At 37.4% G+C, this 22359-nt stretch overlaps 1 protein-coding gene across 28 annotated transcripts in view; it reads left to right on the top strand.

Annotated features, from left to right (window-relative positions):
- SYTL5 (synaptotagmin like 5) overlaps positions 1–22359 on the top strand; it is a 239906-nt gene that overhangs the window by 172138 nt on the left and 45409 nt on the right. For 19 of the 28 annotated variants that reach the window (XM_017029972.1, XM_047442658.1, XM_011544001.3 and 16 more), the window contains 3 exons: positions 10995–11110; positions 12538–12646; positions 15515–15649. In XM_017029972.1, the coding sequence (XP_016885461.1) occupies positions 10995–11110; positions 12538–12646; positions 15515–15649 (360 nt within the window). The remainder of the gene's footprint in view (positions 1–10994; positions 11111–12537; positions 12647–15514; positions 15650–22359) is intronic. The other 9 variants (XM_047442663.1, XM_047442660.1, XM_047442666.1 and 6 more) reach the window with 1 other exon arrangement.

Here is a 22359-nt window from a genome sequence, read left to right on the forward strand (position 1 = left end):
GAAGATGAGTTTATTATTTTATTCATAAATTTCTGTCTTGATGCGTTAAAATGTCTTAAGGAAGAAACAGCTCTTTCAATGTGTGATTCTAACCCTTCTATGACAACAACTTGTCTTTTAGTTATATCCTTCTGTGACAGCTAGAAATTTACATGATGAGTATTTAATTTGATATATCAAAATTACTTCTCATTTTTAAAGCTGAAAATCAGAGTACATTACTTCTCCAACATTGCAACTGTTAGTCTGTGTGATATTAGAGACTTAAACTATATCTCAGTATTGGAAGTATCTTGTTTGCTATTCATGGAGTGGTTTTCAAAACGGAAGCATAAATAATATTTTATTGGCAGCAAACACTCTTTGTTTATTGTGAGAGAATATTGCAGCCCCACTGAGCTGTCTCTATATTTAATAGACCATAAAATTGAAATTCCCACCCTGACCTCTAAGAGATGAGATGAGTCAGAAGGTGACTCACTCTCTAATCAGTTGGAAGTAAATGACCTTTATTGTCATTTACTTTGGATTGGGTAAAAGTAAAGAGCTTTTATTGCTTTAGCACTGAAACGATTACAGCAAGGACTGACAGAGGAAGGTTACCTGTTATAATGGGCTGAGCAGGCCCTGACATTTTCTCCAATCCCTTCTGATTCCAACAAGTTGGCTATTGTAAGCCTAGTTTTTAAACTCTATAAAAAACATGATAAAAGGGACCTTGACACAGCCAGTTAATTCATTTTTCTATCTTAATAATACCTACAAAATTCCACATTGTTATGTTAGCTGAGGCAGTTGCAGTCCAACACAAAGACAGTCATAATGATCATTTTTTCTAATTAGTACCCAATTGAATTCAGAAGGCCCCAAAGATAAAAGCAACATGAGTTGGAACAAAACATGAAATATTTTTTCTTTTTTTCTTTTTTTTTTGAGATGGAGTCTTGCTCTGTCACCCAAGCCGGAGTGCAGTGGCGCAATCTCGACTCACTACAGCCTCTGCCTCCCAGGTTCAAGTGATTCTCCTGCCTCAGTTTCCCAAGTGGCTGGGACTACAGGCATGTGCCACCACACCCGGCTAATTTTGTTGTATTTTTAGTAGAGATGGGGTTTCACTGAGTTGGCCAGGCTGGTCTCAAATTCCTGACCTCAAGTGATCCACCCACCTCAGTCTTCCAAAGTGCTGGTATTATAGGTGTGAGCCACTGTGTCCCGCCAAAACATGAAATACTTCTAATATGGCATTGATGGGCAGATCTTATATTCATGCTATGTTGCAACATATTACCGTGCTATATGTCCTTGTGAGAATCTTTGTCTTTTTAAATTAGGAAGATCCTGATGATATTTTTATTTTTGATTGATTGGTAATGATTACTGCAATGGATAAAATATAACTGAAATAGATGAAAAATACTGAGTGTTTATCAGTAAAATAGATTTCAAAAAAGATAATACTGATGGATGGAACATACACAGAGTGCAGAAGACGATGTATACACCTTTGTTATAAGAAAGAGAAATACAGCCCCTGACATCTGGAAACTGGGCTCACACTGACAAACCTAGTCCCTTGATGTTAAGAGCTGGTCTTGCACTTACAGGTAGGCCATACTGTTATCCTGTTGGACATCAAGCAGTCTCAGGGTACCAGAATCCCACAAGATCATTCTACAACAATAATAAAGTAAACAAAACAAGAACACTTTGTAATCTTATCTAAGCATAGATGAAAACAAGGTGACTGTTGAAACCGCAAATTACCGAACATCCCCATTTCTTGACTAATGTGAATAACCTCCTACTTTCTTACCAATTAGAGCTTTAGCCTAGCATTAGTCTGCCATCCTTCTAAATAAAATTTATCAAGATACCAATGTTAGAATTGTCCCCATTCTCTGACATCGCTTAATCCAGAGAAAATCCCTGCTCCATCTAACTCTCCCGAAAATTACTAACATAAACCCAAATCCTATAGTAAATCCTTTCAAGTGCCCTCTTACTGAGACTCTCCATGATTCCTCATGGTATGTGGAGTTTTTTTTTTCATTATTATGGGCAAAAATCTCAACATGTTTGTCCATAGGTGGGACGAGCATCTGGTCATCTTTGGCCTGATGAGTGAGTATTGGTAATTGCCACATAGGTCATTTCAAAATCACTTCTAATTTAGCAAATTTTCATAGTGCAGCTACAAGGGAAAGATTCATATTGGAGTAGTCCTACATTTACCCAAAGATTTCTTGAATGGCAAGAAGCTATTTTTAGTCCCTTGACATGCTATTTTGCATCAACTATCAATTATATACAAGTGCCTCCACGCTTGTATAGAATGAGGTGTTCACTATGAGTATGGTACCTTAATAGCTATATAAACTAGAAAGATTTTTAAATCTAAAAATATAGTACATATCCAAGGTACTCTATAATACATATAGTTTAAACAATAATAAAAATAGCCCCTGTGTATTCATTACCCAGTCTAAGAATTAGAACATCTTGTTTTGTATTTTTCATTCCCTTGCTTTACTTTATGGTTTTACTGCATTTGGATGTGTCTCTAAGTAACATGTTTTCTAGTTTTGTATTTTTGAATATTATGGAAATGGAAATCATACTACCTGTATTCTTTTGTGATGTTTTTATCTCAACAACATGTTTGTGAAATACATCCATGTTCGTGTGAATAACATTACATTCATCTACACTGTTGTTACATTCCCTTAATGCATCTATTTTCTGGTCAACAGACATTTAGATTGTTTCAGTTTATAATTTTACCAAAAAATGCTGCCATGACATTCTTATACATATGGCCTGACAAACATGTATGAGTGTGTACACTCAATGGTGGGATTCTTAAATCTGTGGATCATGACCTATTGGTAGGTAGTAACTAGCATTAAAAACAAGTGGTGGGATTTTTAATCTGTGGATCATGACCCATTGGTGGGTAGTAACTAACATTAAAAAAAAGTGGAGTAAAAAGTGTCAGTATAGATATACATATATATATGTGTGTGTGTGTGTGTGTGTATGTGTATACTTATACATGTGTGTATTTATTTTCTGAGTTGTGACATAAAATGTATTTCTTATTGTGACCTCTGCCAAAAATGCTTGAGAAGACTACGGCAGATTGTGCATCTGGGAATGAAATTGCACACCAAACGGTATGAGCATTTTCAGCTTGACAAGATAATGTTAAATTCTTTTTTATAGTGGTTGTAACAATCAAAACCCCACTAGCATTGTATAAGTGTTTCCTTTACTTCATGATCTTACCAACACTTGGCTTCATGAACATTTTTTATTTTTTCCAAACCGATAGATATAAAGGAATATCTCCCTATAGTTTCAATTTGCATTTTACTGCTTAAGTATGAGGTTGAGCAGCTTTTCATATATTTATTAGCTTTTTGTGGTTCTTTTTCTGTGATATGAGTATTTATGTGTATTGCACAATTTTATTTTAGGTGCTGGTCTTTTCCTTATTAATTTGGAGGTACTCTTTATGCTTCCCTTCATCTCTAAATATGTTTTTGCTTTGAAGGCTATTTTTTCTGTTATTAATACAATTACATCAAATTTCTTTTGGTTAATAGCTGCATACATGTTTTTCCAACATTTGACTTTAAACCTTTCTGTGTCCATATGTTTAAGGTGAGTCTCTTTTATGTGGCATATGTATTATTTTAAAATATAGTATATGTTATATGTATTTTAATACTTGTTATACTTATATGCTACATACATTACATATGTGCTGTATATACATATACCTGATATATATACTATATGTAATTTTTAACATTTAATCTCATAATATTGTTTCTTAAATTATAGAGTTTAGTCTGTACTCACTGATTACTGCAATATTTACATTTATTTCTATTATCATTGTGATTCCTGAAATATTTGCATTTATTTATTTTATCTGTAGATTCATTAAAGTGTATTTTTCTCATCCCATGTTATCCTTTCTACTGGTATTCGTATTATATGCTTTTTTCATTTTCAGTGGTTACCCTGGAAATTATAACATTTATATTTAACTTTGCAAATCAATAGCTAAAAGAAACTTGGTATTCTTGAACTCTAAATATTATTTTCCTGGCTGATACATAATTTTTGTCCTTTGTTTTAGACATTTCTTATTGTATAATCCAACAATTTATGTCATCTCATTTTTCTTTATAAATCAATGTTTGTTTAGATTTTTATATATTTTATCAATTTCATTGTTCACCATTTCTTTTTATACCTCAGACCTATTTTACCTCTCCTGAAGTATAGTCTTTAAAAGTTCCTTTAGTGAGAATCTATTTGGTGATAAATTATCTGTTTTCATTATGTTGAAAATTTCTTTATTTCATCCTCATTCGTGAACAGTGATTTCTGTGGATATGCAATTCTAGATTGATAGTATTTTCTCCCAGCACTTTGAAGATGTGTCATTGGTTTCTGGATTTCATCATTGCTATTAAAAATCAACTGTCATGCTAATTGTGGTTCTTTTGTAGGTTTCCTTTTGCCTTCCTGGCTACTTTTAAGATGTTCCCTTTGTCTGTAGTGCTCTATAGTTTCACCATAATGTGTCTAGGGGTTTCTTTTCACTTTTCCTGCTTGGAAAGGAAGAAAGGAATAAATGTACACCAGCATCTTCATATGGCCAAGGTCCTTGTTTGTCTTCTTCACCTCTGTATTCTTAGCCTTAGCCCGGGGCATGACACATAGTAGAAATGCAATAAATATTTGCTGTGTAGGCCGGGCGTGGTGGCTCACACCTGTAATCCCAACACTTTGGGAGGCAGAGGTGGGCGGATCACTTGAGGTCAGGAGTTTGAGATCAGCCTGGCCAACATGGTGAAAACCCATCTCTATTAAAAATACAAAAATTAGCCGGGTGTGATGGGGCATGCCTGTAGTCCCAGCTACTCGGGAGGCTGAGGCGGGAGAATCGCTTGAACCTAGAAGGTGGAGGTTGCAATGAGCTGAGAGCATGCCACTGCACTCCAGCCTGGGTGACAGAGTGAGATTCTGTCTCAAAAAAAAATGCTGTGTAATTAATAAATGTATAAAAAAATTGAATTAGTTTCCTTATGAATAATAGAAAGGAACTAATATCTTATCTCAGAGTATCTAATAAGCATATCTTGTTGCAGATGTCTCCAGCAGTTAATAGAAAATAAAGGAGCAAAATGAATCTTTTGGTCATTATTCTTTTTTAAGATAAGATTACCTATTTTCCCCTGTAAAACTATAGATAATTTAATTTGACTTTACATTCATATAAGCTTCCAAGTGAAGGCTTGAAAAGTCCCAGAGGTTTAGTGTTAAAGAAAACCAGGACAAAACAAACCCTGAACTGTCAGTAATCATTATTCACAAATAAGTATAGCCCACTGTGATTTTAATCAGGCCCATTCTTCAGAGTATGACTTACAGTGCATAAAGTCTATGTCAAGTCTTGTGTTTTTCAAATACTAGATTGACATGACAGAGAGGGATATAAATTTTATAGTGGGTGGGATTTTTATTTTCTTTTGTCTTTTACCCCTTCTGTATTCTTACCACTCCACCCTCAACACACAAACATGCACACGCACACACACACCCCACAATCACAGCCAATCATATGCAATGCTATGTTTGTTATTCCTTGGACTCTACAGGTTTTCACCCTTCCTCAAAGCCCTGTTATAGTTGACAAGTATGAGTTCTCTTCAGACAATTTTTCCAAGTATAAAGCATGTGGGATTTCAATACAAATCCTGTCTCTGACATAATACCTTTATAACTTTGGGCAAATTGTTTAACCTATGTGAGCTTTAGTTTCCTTGTCTGTAAATTGGTAATGGTAATAGATACTTCATTGCTTATAGTGAGAATTAGAGATACCGTATATAAAGTGACTAGCCTATTACTTGGTGACTGACATGCACTCACTAAGTATTAGTTTCCTGTTCTACCAAGCCTTCTGTCTGCCTCCTGACAAGACGTGACACCTGAGAGGGTGACAAAGGCATAATCTCAACAATCTGTTCTGGTATTTTCTCTGAAATGACAAATGACTCAAGTGCATTATCTGAGTTGAACAAATACAAGACTTATAGTTATTATTCTCCAAGGGTAGCAAGAGGTAATGACTAACAATTCTGGGAAGATCTTATTTGTGTTAGGTGTTGGCAGCTCTAAGCATGCATGGTAAAAGTGATATGGAGGCCCATTTCCTGGAGAATGTAGACTGGATGTGTCCACTTTCTTCTGTCACACATGAAACTGCTGTCAGTATGCTATCTACTCCATCTCACATCCAAAGAACATATCAAAAAAAAAAAAAAGATCTAAGGCCTTGGCATGCCACTATTTAGCAATTTTTAGTCACTGAACTATAGTATTCCCCCTTGTTCTTATTTCTTTTTGTGTACTCTTTGCCTCCTGCAAAAGTTAAAAACTCTTCTTTTTTGTAATAAAACACCAGAGAGCAAATATTTTAGGCTTTGAGAGCTATGTGGTCTACCGCTGCAACCACTTAGCTTTGTAGTTGTAGCACAAAAGCAGCCAAAGACAACACATAAACAATTGAGCATGGATATCTTTCAATAAAACTTTATTTATATGATCAATGAATAAAGGACTCCCTATTTAATAAATGGTGCTGGAATAACTGGCTAGCCACATGCAGAAGAATGAAACTAGACCCCTATTTTTCACTATATACAAAAATTAACTCAAGATTGATTAAATATTTAAGTGTAAGACCTCAAGCTATACAAATTCTAGAAGAAAACCAAGGAAGTATCATTTTGAATATCAGCCTTGGCAAATAATTTATTACTAATTCCTCAAAAGTAATTACAATAAAAACAAAAATTGACAAATGAGACCTAATTAATCTAAAAAATTTTACACAGCAAAAGAAACTAACAGAGCAAACAGACAACCCACAGAATGGGAGAAACTATTTGGAAACTATGCATCCAACAAATGTTTAATATCCATAATCTGTAATAAAGTTAACAAGCAAAGAAGCAAATAATCCCATTTAAAAGTGGGCAAAGGACATGAACAGACCCATCTCAAAAGAAGATATACAAGGAGCTAACAAGCATATGAAAAAAATATTCATCACTAATCATCAGAGAAATGCAAATCAGAAGCACAATGAAATACCATCTCACACCAGTCAGATGGTTATTATTAAAAAGTCAAAAAATTACAGATGCTGGTGAGTCGTGGAGAAAAGGAAATGCTTATACATTGTTGGTGGGAATGTAAATTTGTTCAGCCACTGTGGAAAACAGTTTGGAGATTTCTCAAAGAACTAAAAACAAAACTATTATACCATTCAACCCAGCAATCCCATTACTGGGTATATACCCAAAGGAGAAAAAAGTCATTGTACAAAAGCACATATACTTATATATTCACAGCTACACTATTCACAAAAGCAAAGATATTGACTTAACCTAGGTGCCCATCAACAGTAGATTGGATCAAGAAATTGTGGTACATATACAACATGGAATACTATGCAGTCATAAAAATAATGAAATCATATCTTTTGCAGCAACATTGATGCAGCTGGAGGCCATTATCCTAAGCGAATTAATGCAGGAATAGAAAACCAAATACTGCATGTCCTAACTTATAAGTAGGAGCTAAACATTGGGTACATATGGAGATAAAGATGGCAACAATAGATACTGTGGACTCCTGGGGGTGGGGGCAAGGGTTGAAAAACTACCTATTGGATACTATGTTCAGTACCTAGGCAACGGGATCGTTTATACCCCAACCCTCAGCCTCACACAATATACCCACGTAACAAACCTGTACATGTACCCTATTAATCTAAAATAAAAGTTGAAATTATTTTTTAGAAGACCCTATTTATAGACCCTGAAATTTGAATTTCATATACTTTTCACATGTCATTAAGTATTTTTATTTTGATTTTTTTCAACCATTTAAAAATGTAACAATCATTTCTAGCTTGCAGGCTGTACAAAATAGATGATGGGGTGAATTTGACCCATGGGCCATAGTGTGCCTACCTTTTCCCTTTTGTTTCTGAATTTTCCTTATTCATCTTCTTACAACCTATGCAATTTCCTGAGTTGAATATTAGAACAAATATATTTCTATGTTAACTTATCATAGTAGTTTTCTATTGCCACCTTAACTATTACTACAGCTTAGCAGTTTAAAACAATGCAAATGTATTATTTCACAGTTTTGGAGCTCAAACGAGTTTGACTCGTTTCTCTACTCCAGGTTCTGTAAGGCTGAAATCAAGGTGTTGGCTAGTTGAGTTCTTTTTTCTATAAAGAGATTCTGGGAAGAATCCACTTCCAAGTTCATTCTTGTGGACAGAATCCAGTTCCTTGTGGCTGTCAGAATGAGGTGCTCATTTCCTTGTTGACTGTTCACGGAAAGCCATTCTTAGCTCATAGAGGTCTCACTTTCCAGTCATTGCCTGTGGACCTCTACACCTCAGAGCTTTCTCAGCACATAAAATCTTTCTCATATTTGCAATCTGACTTTCCATTCTGCATTGTCTTTACTGACTTCCTCTTCTTCCTTTGTGTTTAAGGGCTTATGTGATTGCTTTGGGCCCATGTGGATAATCTAGGATAATCTCACTATTTTAAGGTCAGCTAATTAGTAACCTAATTCCATCTGTAATGTCTGATCACATCAGCACCTGGATTAGTGTTTGACTGAATAGCCAAGAAACAGGAGACATCTTTCGAATTTAGAATACCACAATTGTCACCTGGATTTCCAACACTGTGATACATAAGTCTATAGATCACTTGAAATGTATCCAGAAATAACTTAACCCATTCAAGCTTTTGGTTTTGGTAGGTTATATCTTAGATTTGACCGTATTCCATAAGCGTATTTTATATAGTTACTGTTATGGAGCTTATCCAATAGTCTGGGCTTCTCAATAGGTAATATAACCACTTGGGAGTAAATCTATGGTAGACAAACTATGGTCTTACCTTTCAATGAATACTTTTCTCCAAGGTTAACATTTTCACTTTTTGCCAGTAGTGGAATGGTGTTTCATATATAATTTACCTTTGCCTCAGATTCCGAAGCAGATTTCAGGATAATTGCTGAACAAGCAGATTTCAGGATAATTGGGGAAGAAGGTTGACATATTTTTCAAGAGTGACTTTTCTATTTGAGATCCAGCTATTGATTTTCAAGTCCAATAAGTTGCTGAATCAAATGGATATAATATTCTGGGGCTTGAAATGCCTATTTGACTCTCAGTTGCTTTTCCTCAGCCACCATATCAGACATGTCACCAATTCTTACTGATTCTCATTCTCAGTGGGCCAAGTGTATGTGTCTTTCCCTTTACTCCTCACCTCCATGATACCCTGATTTGCATCTTCATCATTTTCTATCCTCTTTATTGTTTAACTTTCTAATTTGCCTGCCTACCTCTGGTTTCTCTCTTCTTCATATATTTAGCCAGAGATTATGTGATTCAATCTGAACTTTAGAAAAACTGCTAGAATGACATTCCACCTCTTTACCTCAGCATTCAAATATTTGACCCCAAATCCTACCTTTTAACTCCAGTTTTCAATAGAATTCTCCACAAATCCTTTACCGTAGTTACATAGTCCTATTTACTATTTTCAGAACATGCCCATAGAGGTTTTGGGACAATAGTGCTCACCTAATCAGCTAAAGCCATTTCTTAATTTTTAATTAGAAATATATTTAGTCTACCGAATGACTTCTACAGCTGTTAAAATCCTTGTGATATGCCAGAAAAGGACTTTTATAGCAGCATAACTACTATAGGTTGAATTCCAGGTATTCTAATTCATTCCACAAATATTTCCTGAGTGCCAGTTACTGCTCCTGGAAATGGTGAACAACACAGCCAAGGTCCCTGCCCTCATTTCACTGATGATAATAAGAACTATGAGAATATGAAAAGAAGGGTAATGTGTTAAAATTATGAGAGAGTAGTCATTCATTTGAAAAACATTAATTGAGATCGTGGTCTGTGAAAGACTTTCTTGTAGGTACTATGGAAAACAAAAGATGAAGCAGACAGAAATCAGTTCTCAGAGCATTTACAACCCAGTCGAAATGAGAGGGTAGAAATAATACTGAAGGACGCTATAAGTAATGGGAGAAGTACAGACAAAGAAGAGGATTATAAGCATTTCAGGAGGGAAGATGGGGGTGATTTCATGTAGCCATTGCAGGTAGGGTTTAAAAGATGGGTGTGACTATTCAAGGATCCTTCTTTCCCATCTTTAACATTGAACTTATTACCAAATCCAGGCAAGCACTTCCACCACCTATGATCTGAATTTATTACTCCTCTTTTAGTCTTACCATTGCCCTAGCATGGGTGCCATCATCTGTCTCCTGGACTATTACAATGGCCAACCTGTCTCTTTATCCTATTCTCTCATCAGTCTAACCCACTGTACATGTTATATCAAAGAATCTTTTCATCACAGAGATCTGATCATAAGTCTGATCACAGAGTCTGATCATGACCTCTTTTTCATTCCAAACCTTTACTTGATCCCTATTGCTTGCATTGAAGATCACTTATCCACTAATGCAGTGGTTAAGAACTTGAGCCCCAGGTCAGACTTATTGGGATGGGATCCTGGCTCTGCTACTTACCAGCTGTGTGATATGAGGCACATTATTTTATTGCTCTAAGTCCCAATTTCCTCATCTATAACATTAGGATAATAGTGTTTACATAAGGTTGCTATGTGGATAAAAATATATGAAGTATGAACCGTAATTAGCAAGTACCTAGCAGATAGTAAACATTCAATTAATACTGGCTATTATTATCACCATAAAATACTCCAGAGATTGAGATAAACTTTATAAATAATTTGCTGTTTTCAGTTTATTAGGGATTTTTGAGAGTTAATTATGTGGCTAAATAATTGAATTTCAATGCTCTTCCCTTTTCCCTTGAGTAGGCAGCTAAGGATTATAACTGGTGAGTGGTTTTTTGAAGAAAAGGCAAAACGTTTCAAGCAAGTCAATGTTCTCGGCACTGATGTTGTCCGACAGTCCATTTTAAGAAGAAGTCCAGGTAATTAAAGCAATTATGTGGTTTCACAACTGTTTTCATCTCCATTTGGCTAACTAAATAACTTCTCTATGTTATGTAGTTAATCAGCATAAATGAGTTTCTTGAATCCCTTAGGGCATTTCACAACTTGGTAGCATGAAATCTAGATACGTAATTCATACAAGACAAGAAGAAGTCAGTAGAAAACAAAATTCACAATGATTTTCCATATATCTCACCCACTAAGATTTTCAAAGAAACCATTTGTCTCCATCATAGACAGTTCTCTTTCTGAATGCATCCAATATTTTACTAAACACTTAAAGTAACATAAAACAGATGAATTAAATGATTCACATTGTGAAAGCAATCCTTGATTTTTCAACAATATTTATTTCCGATTTCCTTTCAATGTTACTTTTTAAATCCAGTGGTTCTCAATCAAAGATTGATAATATGTACCTTGTCTCCCTCCCTCAAAATGGGAGCATTTGGAAAGGCAAGGGGGGCATTTCTGGTTGTCACAGTGACTGGTGAGTCAATGGCATTTGGTGGGAAGGAGCCAGAGATGCTAAATGGCTTGAAATGCATAGTCTTACTGAATGAATACTGGCACCAAATGAAAATAACACTTTACCTTGACAGTGCCTTTTGGTGCATTCAAATTACAATTTAGTTAATTAAAGATGGAGTAAACCTTGTGATTGGGAGCATGTTTCTCGTATATGGTGTAGTAAAAGCGGAAGAAACATCTTTCAGCCTGTTTCTAGGCTTATCTCATCTTTCATCCAGAGGAGACAAGTGCCCTTGTATTTAAGTCTGGCACATATGGCGAGAAGGCTTGGAACTGATTCCAGTGGTACTTCTGGGTGTGGCACTAGCAAGGAAAGGCTTTTCCACATAGGTCACACAGATCCGATACTACAGAGAGATGGTGTGGAGTACAGTTAGAATTAGGCAATCAGCCATGGCCTCTTCTTCCACTCAAACCCCAGTACCTTCCAGAATGTAGGCAGTTCCTCAAGTCACAATATATTTGCACAGATGCCCACCCTCCCAGGAAGTGTGGCTTATATGCCCAGAAATTAGGACATCATTTCTACAACCTCATGCTAGAACTCAGTCTCCAGGGATTTGGAGATCTTAGGAGACCATGTTCCCCTGCTCTAAAAATATCAACAGAAGGCTGATGCAGTCATCCCTAGGAAGGTTATCTCAGTAAACCTCCCACAGATGAGTTCAGGATCTTTGTCTTCAGTTAACTCTAGAACACTCAACAAATTAGAACTAACTGTGTGACAGAAAAACTTGGGATGGGAATGGCATTGCCAATTATTATAGACTTCCTTGCCCTGAGCTAATCTGGGAAAGTGAAAGCAGAATATAAATTTGCTCTCATTTCTGGCCATTTTGTATGTAAATTTCTCTTCTGATTGTTTGTTAATGAGGAGCTGAAGAAGTACAGAGCCAAGAGCAAACCCGCCAGGATGCAGAAAAGTCAGACACTTCACCTGTTGCTGGGAAGAAGGCCAGCCATGATGGGCCCAAGAGAAAGGGGTAAGACATGGTCTTTCTGAGGGAATTTTTGATCTTTATTCCAGACACCTCTGAAATGAAGACTCCTTAATTTTTCAAGTTTGATGTCACTTCAATGACCCAGAGGAGGTCAGAGACTCAAACAAAGTAACACTTTCTTATCATTCTCCTCAGGAAATGCAGTTTTAATAATTTTCAATAAGTAAATAAAAGTCCTGTCTGACCTAAGCACAGAAGAGTTTTCCTTTCATTTGACATATCCAGTCTTGCACTATATGGTTCCCATTACTTATAAGTAGAAAGTTTCATGCCAGGATCAGTCTATAAAGAGGTGACAACAATTTCTGTTGTACAATGTCAATACTCCTCCCCTCCAACCTGTGTGCTGATATATAATTTTATCCAAAATAAAGATTTATTAATTGAGCTTAAAGCACCATATTCCCTATTTAAAATTCAGGCTTCCTTAAGAAAAAAAGTCACATTTGGCCACCACAGTAACTTAGTTCAGTAAATGAATACAGAATATGGATGCCAAGTACTGAGAATAGGAATGGGAGGTACATAAGGGAGCAAGAAGTTTCTTTCAAGGGAGAAAAGTGGATCCCAAAATATAGGCTATAAGGACCAAAAGGAAACTGCATTTTTCAGTTTTTGTTTCTCATGCAGCTATTGGCCAGTTTTTGTGACTGAAGTAGTGAGAGTTCTAATGTGCACCAAGTCATTTTATGGTCCTTTCTGTTTTTTTATTATTATTGAGATGGGGTCTCATTATGTTGCCTGAGCTGGCCTTGAACTCCTGGGCTCAAGCAATCCTCTTGCCTTGGCCTCCCAAGTAGCTGGTACTACAAGTTGTATGCCACCATGCCTGCCTAACTTTATGGTCCTTTTCAGACAGCATTGCTTCATTCTCTCAGTAGAATGCAAAGTGAGAGGGCATTAGTGTTAGAAGATTTATCTGGCTGTACAAAATGTCTAGGGTTCTTTTAGAATCTTGGGCTGTCAGTAGGAATACAATCTAAATGTCATCTAACTCAAGCACTCATGACAAACCATGTTTTCATTGATGAGCAGAGATGAGTTGGAAAGATAGCCTAGAGTATCCTGTATATCCTATCCTATGTATTGATCCTTCCTACCATCTTGAGTTCATTTATCACTCTTTGGGTCACCCACAATGCTTTGTGCCTTTGCACCACCAATCATATTGCACTCTGACACCCCCTCAACACACACACACACACACACACACACACATGCACACACTTAATTGTAAGCTTCTTTAGTGGTAGACCAGTGGTTTCTTTGCTTCTGTGTTGCAGTATCTAGCATGGCACCTGACTCATCAAAAACAATCAGTGGCTTGATTGAATAAGTAACTCAGAGCCCACAAATGCCTCTAGGAGTTGTCATTTGCAGACCCCAGCTCAGGCATCATAGAGTAGGTTACAGAATAGTGGACTTGGAGATAGGAGACAGTAACTAACTCACCATCACAATCAATTATGCAAATTCTGAATCATTGAAACCATTGTAGCACTGGGCTGAGCCTTAGATTCTGATTGTTCTCAGTCATCAAGGAATATAACATCTATTTGGGGAGAAAAGGTACACACCTGAAAAGTTACTAAGTATAAAAGAATTGCAGGAAAATTTAAGATGGCAATGTGAGCTTCCTAAAAGCCTTTCTAAAACAGAGGAGGGTGTTCACCACAAGAGATATCCTAAGGTTATAAATTACTGAGTACATATAAATAAGCAGGTGGACAATAAGTGCCAGTTGAGTATAGGAGTCATCCAGAAAGACATCAAATTGTACATGAGATTTGAGGAGGAGATAAATGGGGTTCAGGATCACAAAACGGAGGAAGAGTGACTCCAGGCAGAGGAGATACCTTAAGTAGAGGACATGCATGAGGTGGTTCTCAGAGCAGCATACCTTGACATTATATTAAGTGCTATTCTCACCAAAGAAAAAATGTAATTTTCCAGTAGATTAAAGCTTCAGATGCTTTGACAATGACACTATTCCAGGAGTCTTTGAAACAGAGACAACATGGCAGATTCTATTAAGATTGTGCCAGTACCTTTGGAATCCATGTTTTCCTCTAGAAAACTGTAGAATGTAAATGAAGTGTATCTCCCAATGCCATTACAAAAAGGAATATAGCTTTGATTTTCTTATTCAAGTACATTTGGAAACACCCATGTTTTGGGCACATGGTATCCTGGATCAGGACTTTAAGTTCCTAAAAGGCTGTTTCTGCTTAAACCCCAAATAATTTAGTGAAATTGGAAGGTAATCAGATTTTATCCAACATGAGGCACAAGAATAAATGTCATGGAAGATAATAAAGATGAGTTTAGTCATTCGTTCCACAAGAGTTGGTTGGATTCCAGTATAAGCCAGGCATCATTCTAGGCTCTGGAAATCTGTCAAGGAACAAGAAAGGCAGAGTCACTGCTCTCATGGAGCTGCAGTCTAATAAGCAGCTACCTCAGTTTGTCCAAGAGGATCATCCTGGCTTCCCTCTCTGAGCAAAGGGAGTTCAAACTCTCTATTCTCACTATTCCTGCAAACAGGCCCAACTCAGGGAATGCATCTTCTTTCTCAGGTGACAGTGCTGAGTTCTCAGAATAGGCAGTCTTTTGCTTAGTAGTGACCTACCAGCAAGTGGTACGGTCTTGAGAGAACGGCGTAACCTTCCCCATTATCACCCTTGATACTGTATTGCAGAGGCACTGGGAACTCTCCAGAACCTCTCAGCCCTAAGGCTGCTTTATTGAAGAATCCTTTATTATTAAAAGTACTAGAAATTGTATTCTTGAAATGATATTTTTAAATGCTTTCTTTCTTATCTAATTTTAAATACATATATATAATTTCAGATTTCTTCTTAGCAAGTTCAGATCGGCAACCAGAGGAGAAATCATAACTCCCAAAACTGACACTGGGCGGAGCTATAGCTTGGACTTAGACGGTCAACATTTTCGGAGTTTAAAATCACCTCCTGGTTCAGACAGGTAAGAGTCATACAGATTGAGCAATGATGTAGCCTGAGGTTAAGGTTGATATATTCCCATTCATAGGGGGATTTTAGGTATCTGTGAAATATTACCACTTGGAGAACTCCTAACACATAATGTGAAAATTCAGGAAGATATTTTTTAGTTGATATGGAAAGCACGTACCCTACTTCTAGAATTACAGCTATTGGAATTGCCTATGTCACCTGCAGGGATGAAACTTTATATTCTGGCACTTGGGGCTGCAGTTCAAATGGAAATGTACAGGGCAAGTAAATGTTTTTCATTGACTTCTTGAGCTTTTTCTATTTAAGCTCCTGAAAAAAAGAAACCTCTGAGTGTCAAATACATTCCTTGCAGCTTTTAAAAAATTATTAATAATTTTAAATTTGAATTTCCTCAGAGACTTTTTCATAAATTTCACTTCCTTTCTAGTTCCACCTCTTCTAACTGGAGGAGATTATCAGTGGAGCCAATTGAGAATGTCCTATCCACAGATCTATCACTTGTCAAGAAAAATAATGAGAAACACAAAGGATAGCCCAGAGCATAGTCATTTTATATCAGGCGTGATTTTCTGTATCCTATTGGAGCATAGTCAAGACTTATTTTCATGATTAGTGTATTATCAAAGCTAGCAATGAGAAAAAAATATCCACCTTCATATTTCACTGGTTTGTCCAATTGTTAACTCCCTTTCGTTTGCTTGTGTCTGGGGTAATTTTGCAAGCCAGATAGTACAAGTAGCAGATTTTCTTTTCTCCTTAGGTTAGGAAGAATGCAAGCAGAATTGCATTCTTCCCTGTAATCCATTTTAGAATGCAGACCAAAAAATTTCCTTAGAGGGGACACTATTTTGACTATTGGGTTATTTTTTCATGGTGACTCTCCATAGCTGTTTCTTTTGTCCCTATAACAGTCCTGCATGCAAGCGTTACTTTATGTAAAACCATACAGAAAAAAAAAATTACAAGGAAGCGTAAAGTCATTTATCACCCATTATCAAAATATTAATACTGTATTCAGTATTTCCCAAACTTTCAAGAATGCTGATATATTCCCTTTTATGATTACAAACTGTTAAGCTATGGTTGCCTTTATCCTTGAAATAGTTTCATTTGTCTTCCATTGAGGTAGCTTCATGCTGTGTCCCACAAAACTTTCTATAAACATCTCATTTTGGCTGGGCACAGTGGCTCACATCTATAATCCCAATGCTTTAGAAGGCTAAGGCAGGAAGATTGCTTGAGCCCAGGAATTTGAGGTTACAGTGAGCTATGATCATGCCACTGCACTCCAGCATGGGTGACTGAGCAAGACCTTGTCTCAAAAAAAAATGAATAAATAAATCTCATTTTTGTTTTTCATAGTTGGACTCCTGACTCTGAGATAGTAGTGGTCAAAATTATTTAGAGACAGTAAGCAACTAATTTGGTGTTCTTTTTGCTCAGCCTCCTGGGACTCCATGGATGAGCCACCTTGGCTAACACTTAAGGCTAGCATTTAAGAAAGGCAATATATACAAAAAGAGGAAAGACAATGTTCCTTGTTTTTTGTTTTTGTTTTTTTTTTTTGAGATGGAGTCTCGCTCTGTCTCCCGGGCTGGAGTGCAGTGGTGCAATCTCGGCTCACTGCAACCTCAGCCTCCTGGGTTCACACCATTCTCCTGCCTCAGCCTCCCGAGTAGCTGGAACTACAGGTGCCCACCACCACGCCCAGCTAATTTTTTGTATTTTTAGTAGAGACGGAGTTTCACCGTGTTAGCCAGGACAGTCTTGATCTCCTGACCTCATGATCCACCCGCCTCGGCCTCCCAAAGTGCTGGGATTACAGGCGTGAGCCACCGCACCCGGCCAATGTTCCTTGTTAAAGAAAAAAAAAAGGCTGCCAGCCTAACAAAATTAGATTGTGCTATTTTAAGTTATATGTCTTACAGTTACTCAACAAGAATAATAGGGAGCATGGTCTCCAGTATCAGTGCTTATACCGTAATGGACTCTATCTGCCTCAGTTTACTCTTTGTGTATTATCTACTACTAGGCATAAATAACCAAAACTATAAAGCCATATGGACATGCATCACCAAGTACTGGTATATTGACCCAGGAGCTTCTTGTTCTTTTTGTAAGCTGAAAGAAAGTCCCTAAGTAGACTTTATCTTAAATTGTAAATACCTGAAATGGCTTACACATAGTCAGAAGTAGCCAGGAGTGCTTTGGCTTAAGCATGTTAAGAACAATATTTTGCCACTAAGAAAGTGAGTAAAGATGCTCAGGAGATCAATAGAGCAAAATGTCCTTTCCCTTGAACGTGCATTTATCACAGTGATGACTCATTAATGGACTGCCACAGTGAGATGAGTTCCATTATTTCAAAATGAGTCCTTAGAAAATTGAGGCAGGAGGTAGCCCATCTTTTCTTAACTTCCATCATCTGAAGAGACTGTAAGATCCCAGTCTCTTTGGTCTATTGCCTGACCCAGCTTACTAATATTTCCCCTTTTTCCCTTACAATGCATATTTTTTCATGGATCATTGGTATTTTCATGGAGCAGCTGGGCTTCGGCATTCCTTTTTAAGGCTCACATCATATAAGAGTGTAAATGATGTTTTATCAGATGTGCAGTTGGCTTTCTTTTCAGTAGTTTCAAAGCAAGGGAAAGTATGAATAGATTAAAGAAGCCCTAGCAGCCTCTCAGAAGAGCTTGTCAAATGGATGTTCACCGGTTGCTAGGGACTTGACACATGAGACAAAGAATATTTTTAGGAAAATAAATGTAAGCTGTAGTTAATAAACAATATTATTCAAGGTAGTGATTTCTAATCCCTACAAAGTTGTGATGAGCTGTCACTGTGGTATGATTTACAAGATCTCTAACTTAAGTCATGCTCTCCCAGAAACAGACCCCTAGACAAGGATTTATAAGCAAGTGATTTATTATTAATCAAGTGATTCCAAGAGAAACCAGGAAGGGAGTAGGAGAGACAGAATAGAGAAGAGGAAGAAGCTAAACAATGGTGCTAGCTCCAGTGTGGTCTGAGGACTCAGCCTGATCCTGTAGGAGACTCTAGAGCATAAACTATATCCCTGAGCTTTTTCCACATTGAGGAGCTGGACCATTGCACTCCTATACCAGTCAGTCATTGACCATGGCCTCCCTTGAATAGAGTCTCTAGACTTAGCAAGTGAAGATACAGGATGCCCAGGTATGTATAGTTGAGACTAACAACTGTTTTTTAGTATAAGTATGTTTCATGCAATATTTGGGACATCCTTATACTTAAAATTAATTTTTTTATCTGAAATTCAAGTTTAACTGCGAGTTCTGTATTTTATCTGACAACTCTTCTATAGGGGTGAGGGGGAGACAAACTCCAGGGCATTTCTAGGCCTCCAGCTCCAGGGCTAAAGGGAAGGTCTCTGAAGGTGGCAGGTGACATCCATTAGCAGAAAAGAACTCAGGATCTAGGGAGGAGCATGCACAGCTGGTAAAAGGAATCTGAGGGAGATGCCAACAATGTTATCTTTAAAAACAGAGTAAAACTAGAACTTTGAACCTAAAATGCATTTTGTTCAGTAAAAATGGAGGAAGAATGATGCTGTTTCTCAGTAGCGTTTCTATCATGTCATTGGAGAATATGGCAATATCTACATGGAATGTGAACAGACGGTGGGACCTTGTTTGGTCTCGTAACCAACTAGGTTCTCATCTTTCTGCCCTCCCACTCCTCCACTCCACGCACACCAGTTTCATCCAGTTATTCCTAATTGCTCTCCAGTGGATCTGGGACTGATGGTCACAGTCTCTGTGAAGCTTCACAAGCTGCTTTGCTTTGGCTGTGATCCACCAAAAGCAGAGACCACACCATTCAAACCAGCCCTTAGCTAGTTCTTGTCCTCATTTCAAGCACTGCCCCTCTCTTTTTCTCTCTCTGTCCAGGAAATATGGCACTTTGGATATTATCATGAATTTAAAGAATCATCCATTCCTCATATCTATTATTTTAGTAAAGTGAGTTTATTAAACCCATTCTATCACTAAATGATGCCTTCTTTTTCATCAGAAATAAAATTATTCTCCTGTCCTGAATGTAATTTTCATTGACATCTTTGCAATTAAGGTGCCAATTAGGTGGCAGCCTCTTACTAGAAATTTGAATATAGCAAGGTGGGAGTGTTTAACTCTGAGTCAGGACCACATCCACAAAGTCAACAATGGTCTGTTTTGCGTATTAGATAAAACATTACATAGCTAGTTGCTAATGCTATTAGCAAACTCCATTCCTTACCAGGCTTAAAAAAATGTTCAAATGTATAGCATATCTCTGAAAGTATGTACATTTATTCTATAATGATCGTTCGGTGACTCAACAGGATAAAGGCTGTGAGCATTGTCCTCCAAAGGAAAATTACTTTCACCTCTTTCCTGTGCCTTTCCCTCCTTTGTCACTGCTAATTCCTTTTTTTCCATTTTAATCTCCTTTGGGTAAGCTCAGCCCTCCTTAGGAGGAGCGAGGGGTGGGCAATCAAAGCCACAAGCTGTAGCAAATGCTAACAGCCTAAAGCAATTCGCAAAACCATGGTGGCCTGAGAAAAGTGAATTTTAATTCCAGGGAGCAACTGACACATGATAAAACAGGAGAGGAAACATGAATTCACCAGAGTATTTTGTTATGCTGTGACCTTATCAGTGGGAGATACACAGTCTGAAGTTGCAAAAAAAAAAGAACTTTAGCTAGAAACTTCTATTTAGAACTCAAAGCCATCCTTTTCTAAACTCATCCTTTGCCCACCATATGCACAAATATGCACTTGATTTGGGCTCCTTTGGAAGACAATCCTGAAATAAGGATTCAAGAGTAAGTAATATGTTCAGGATGTGGTCTAAGGAAACAGAGATAGGAGAGTGGGGAAATGAGCCAGGGAAGGGAAGGCAGGCAAAAAGGATATGTCATTAAGCCAGTTGTTATTGTGGGCAACTAGAGCTCAATCTCACTGGCCAATTCTAGAAAACCGTGCTGAATGTACCTCAGAGTTATCCAGTTAAGAGATAGGGAATCTGGGGTATTTTTACAGCAGCTCTTTGTTCAAAATTTATTGAGGGCTGCTTCTAGGGCACTAACTCTCTGGCACTTCCGACTTGCCCTGTTCACAGGGGCTCCATGCTCCCATGAGTCAAAAAACTCCTCAGGCAGGGAGTTCTGGGTATTCCCAGTAACCAAGATTCTGTGGGTAGAGGTAAGTGCTGAAGGCAAATGGGCAGGGACACTGAGAGTCTGCTACAACCTCCCTCCCAAACTGCTCTCAGACCTCCTTCAAAGACGCAGTTTGTCAGACCACTGTTCAGCCCCTGATTTCTGTTTACTTTATATTATGTGTGACTTTCCTCATTATAATGTCAATAATGTGAGAAGGTATGGAGGCTCAGTAATTCAGCCACACCCATGCTTCATTCCTGTGATCAAATGATTGTAAGCCTGAAGCCTCCTCCTTGCTGTTTTGTCTGTTTCTCCAATTGTTTCCCATGGATTCACTGTCTTGGCATGCTCTATTTCTATGAACTAAATCTAACACCTTCCCCTCCTCCAATTTAATAAATTGCTCTTTTACTCACTGCTACCTAAATATGTATTATGTGACATGTTACCACTCTCAGGGTAGCTAAGATACAATAGATAGCCTTTCTTCTTCTACAGATCATTGAAGAGCAGAGATATGTGACTTGGTCATCTATGCATTCTATTCATACAAATGAATTCAACACACAGCTCTGTTAACATTATTGACCTAGTACTATATATGCCAGATGGTAAATGTGGAAGTTCTTAGACAGTAATACTGTTCCACCCTTTTATGAGCTTCCAATTTAGCAGGAAGGCTGGGATAACTAAACAAATAATTTAAATACAATATAGTAATACGATTTTAAAAAGATGTTCTGCGTGCTATGGGAAAACCAAAGATAGGCATTTATCCTTTCAAAGGATTCAGGTAAGCTTCATTGAGGTGATCCCTAAGCAGCTTTTAAGAAATGAGGAGGACTTGGCCAGGTAAAGAAAGATAGGAAGAGCATTCTACACAGAGGAAATAAAAAGTACAAAGGAAAATAGACATAAAGTAGACTGTGTGCTGAAAAGAAACTGTTCAGAGTTTCTAGAGTATAAAAATTGAAGTATGGTGTACAAGAGATGAGGAGATGGAGAGGTAAGTTGGACCAGGATGTAGATGGCTTTGGATGCCTTAATACCTATCTTCTTATATGCAATATAACATCCTACTCAGAACAAGAGGTTGGCAATTCTGAACTACTAAGTATGGAGTAAGTATTTGTTCCATTTAGTTGCTGAAAGTTAAGTTCTGTTAAACACTCCCCTTTTTTGTGTGTCTATGGGGGAAGGTAGTTGGCTTTCTTCTTGCCCCCGACTTCTAATTGACCCAAGGCTTTTCATGGCTGCTGGCCTCTCTCCTCAAAACGGCTTCTGGTCATTATTTAGAAATAAGACATTTGATCAGAATTTTAATGGGATGCTAAAAAACAAAAATATTATCACGTTGAGAGTACCACCTGTTCTTAAGATCTACTTCTTCATACCCAGCTGGAGTCCCTTCCTCATGGTAACTGTCTCCTCCATTTTAGAGGGAGTCTTCTTAAAGGGAACAAATCCATTAAGGAAACACTAAACATTTTAAAACCCTCAAACAAAGCA

This window comes from Homo sapiens, chromosome X (genome assembly GCF_000001405.40).
Source record: "Homo sapiens chromosome X, GRCh38.p14 Primary Assembly".
Lineage (NCBI taxonomy): Eukaryota > Metazoa > Chordata > Mammalia > Primates > Hominidae > Homo > Homo sapiens.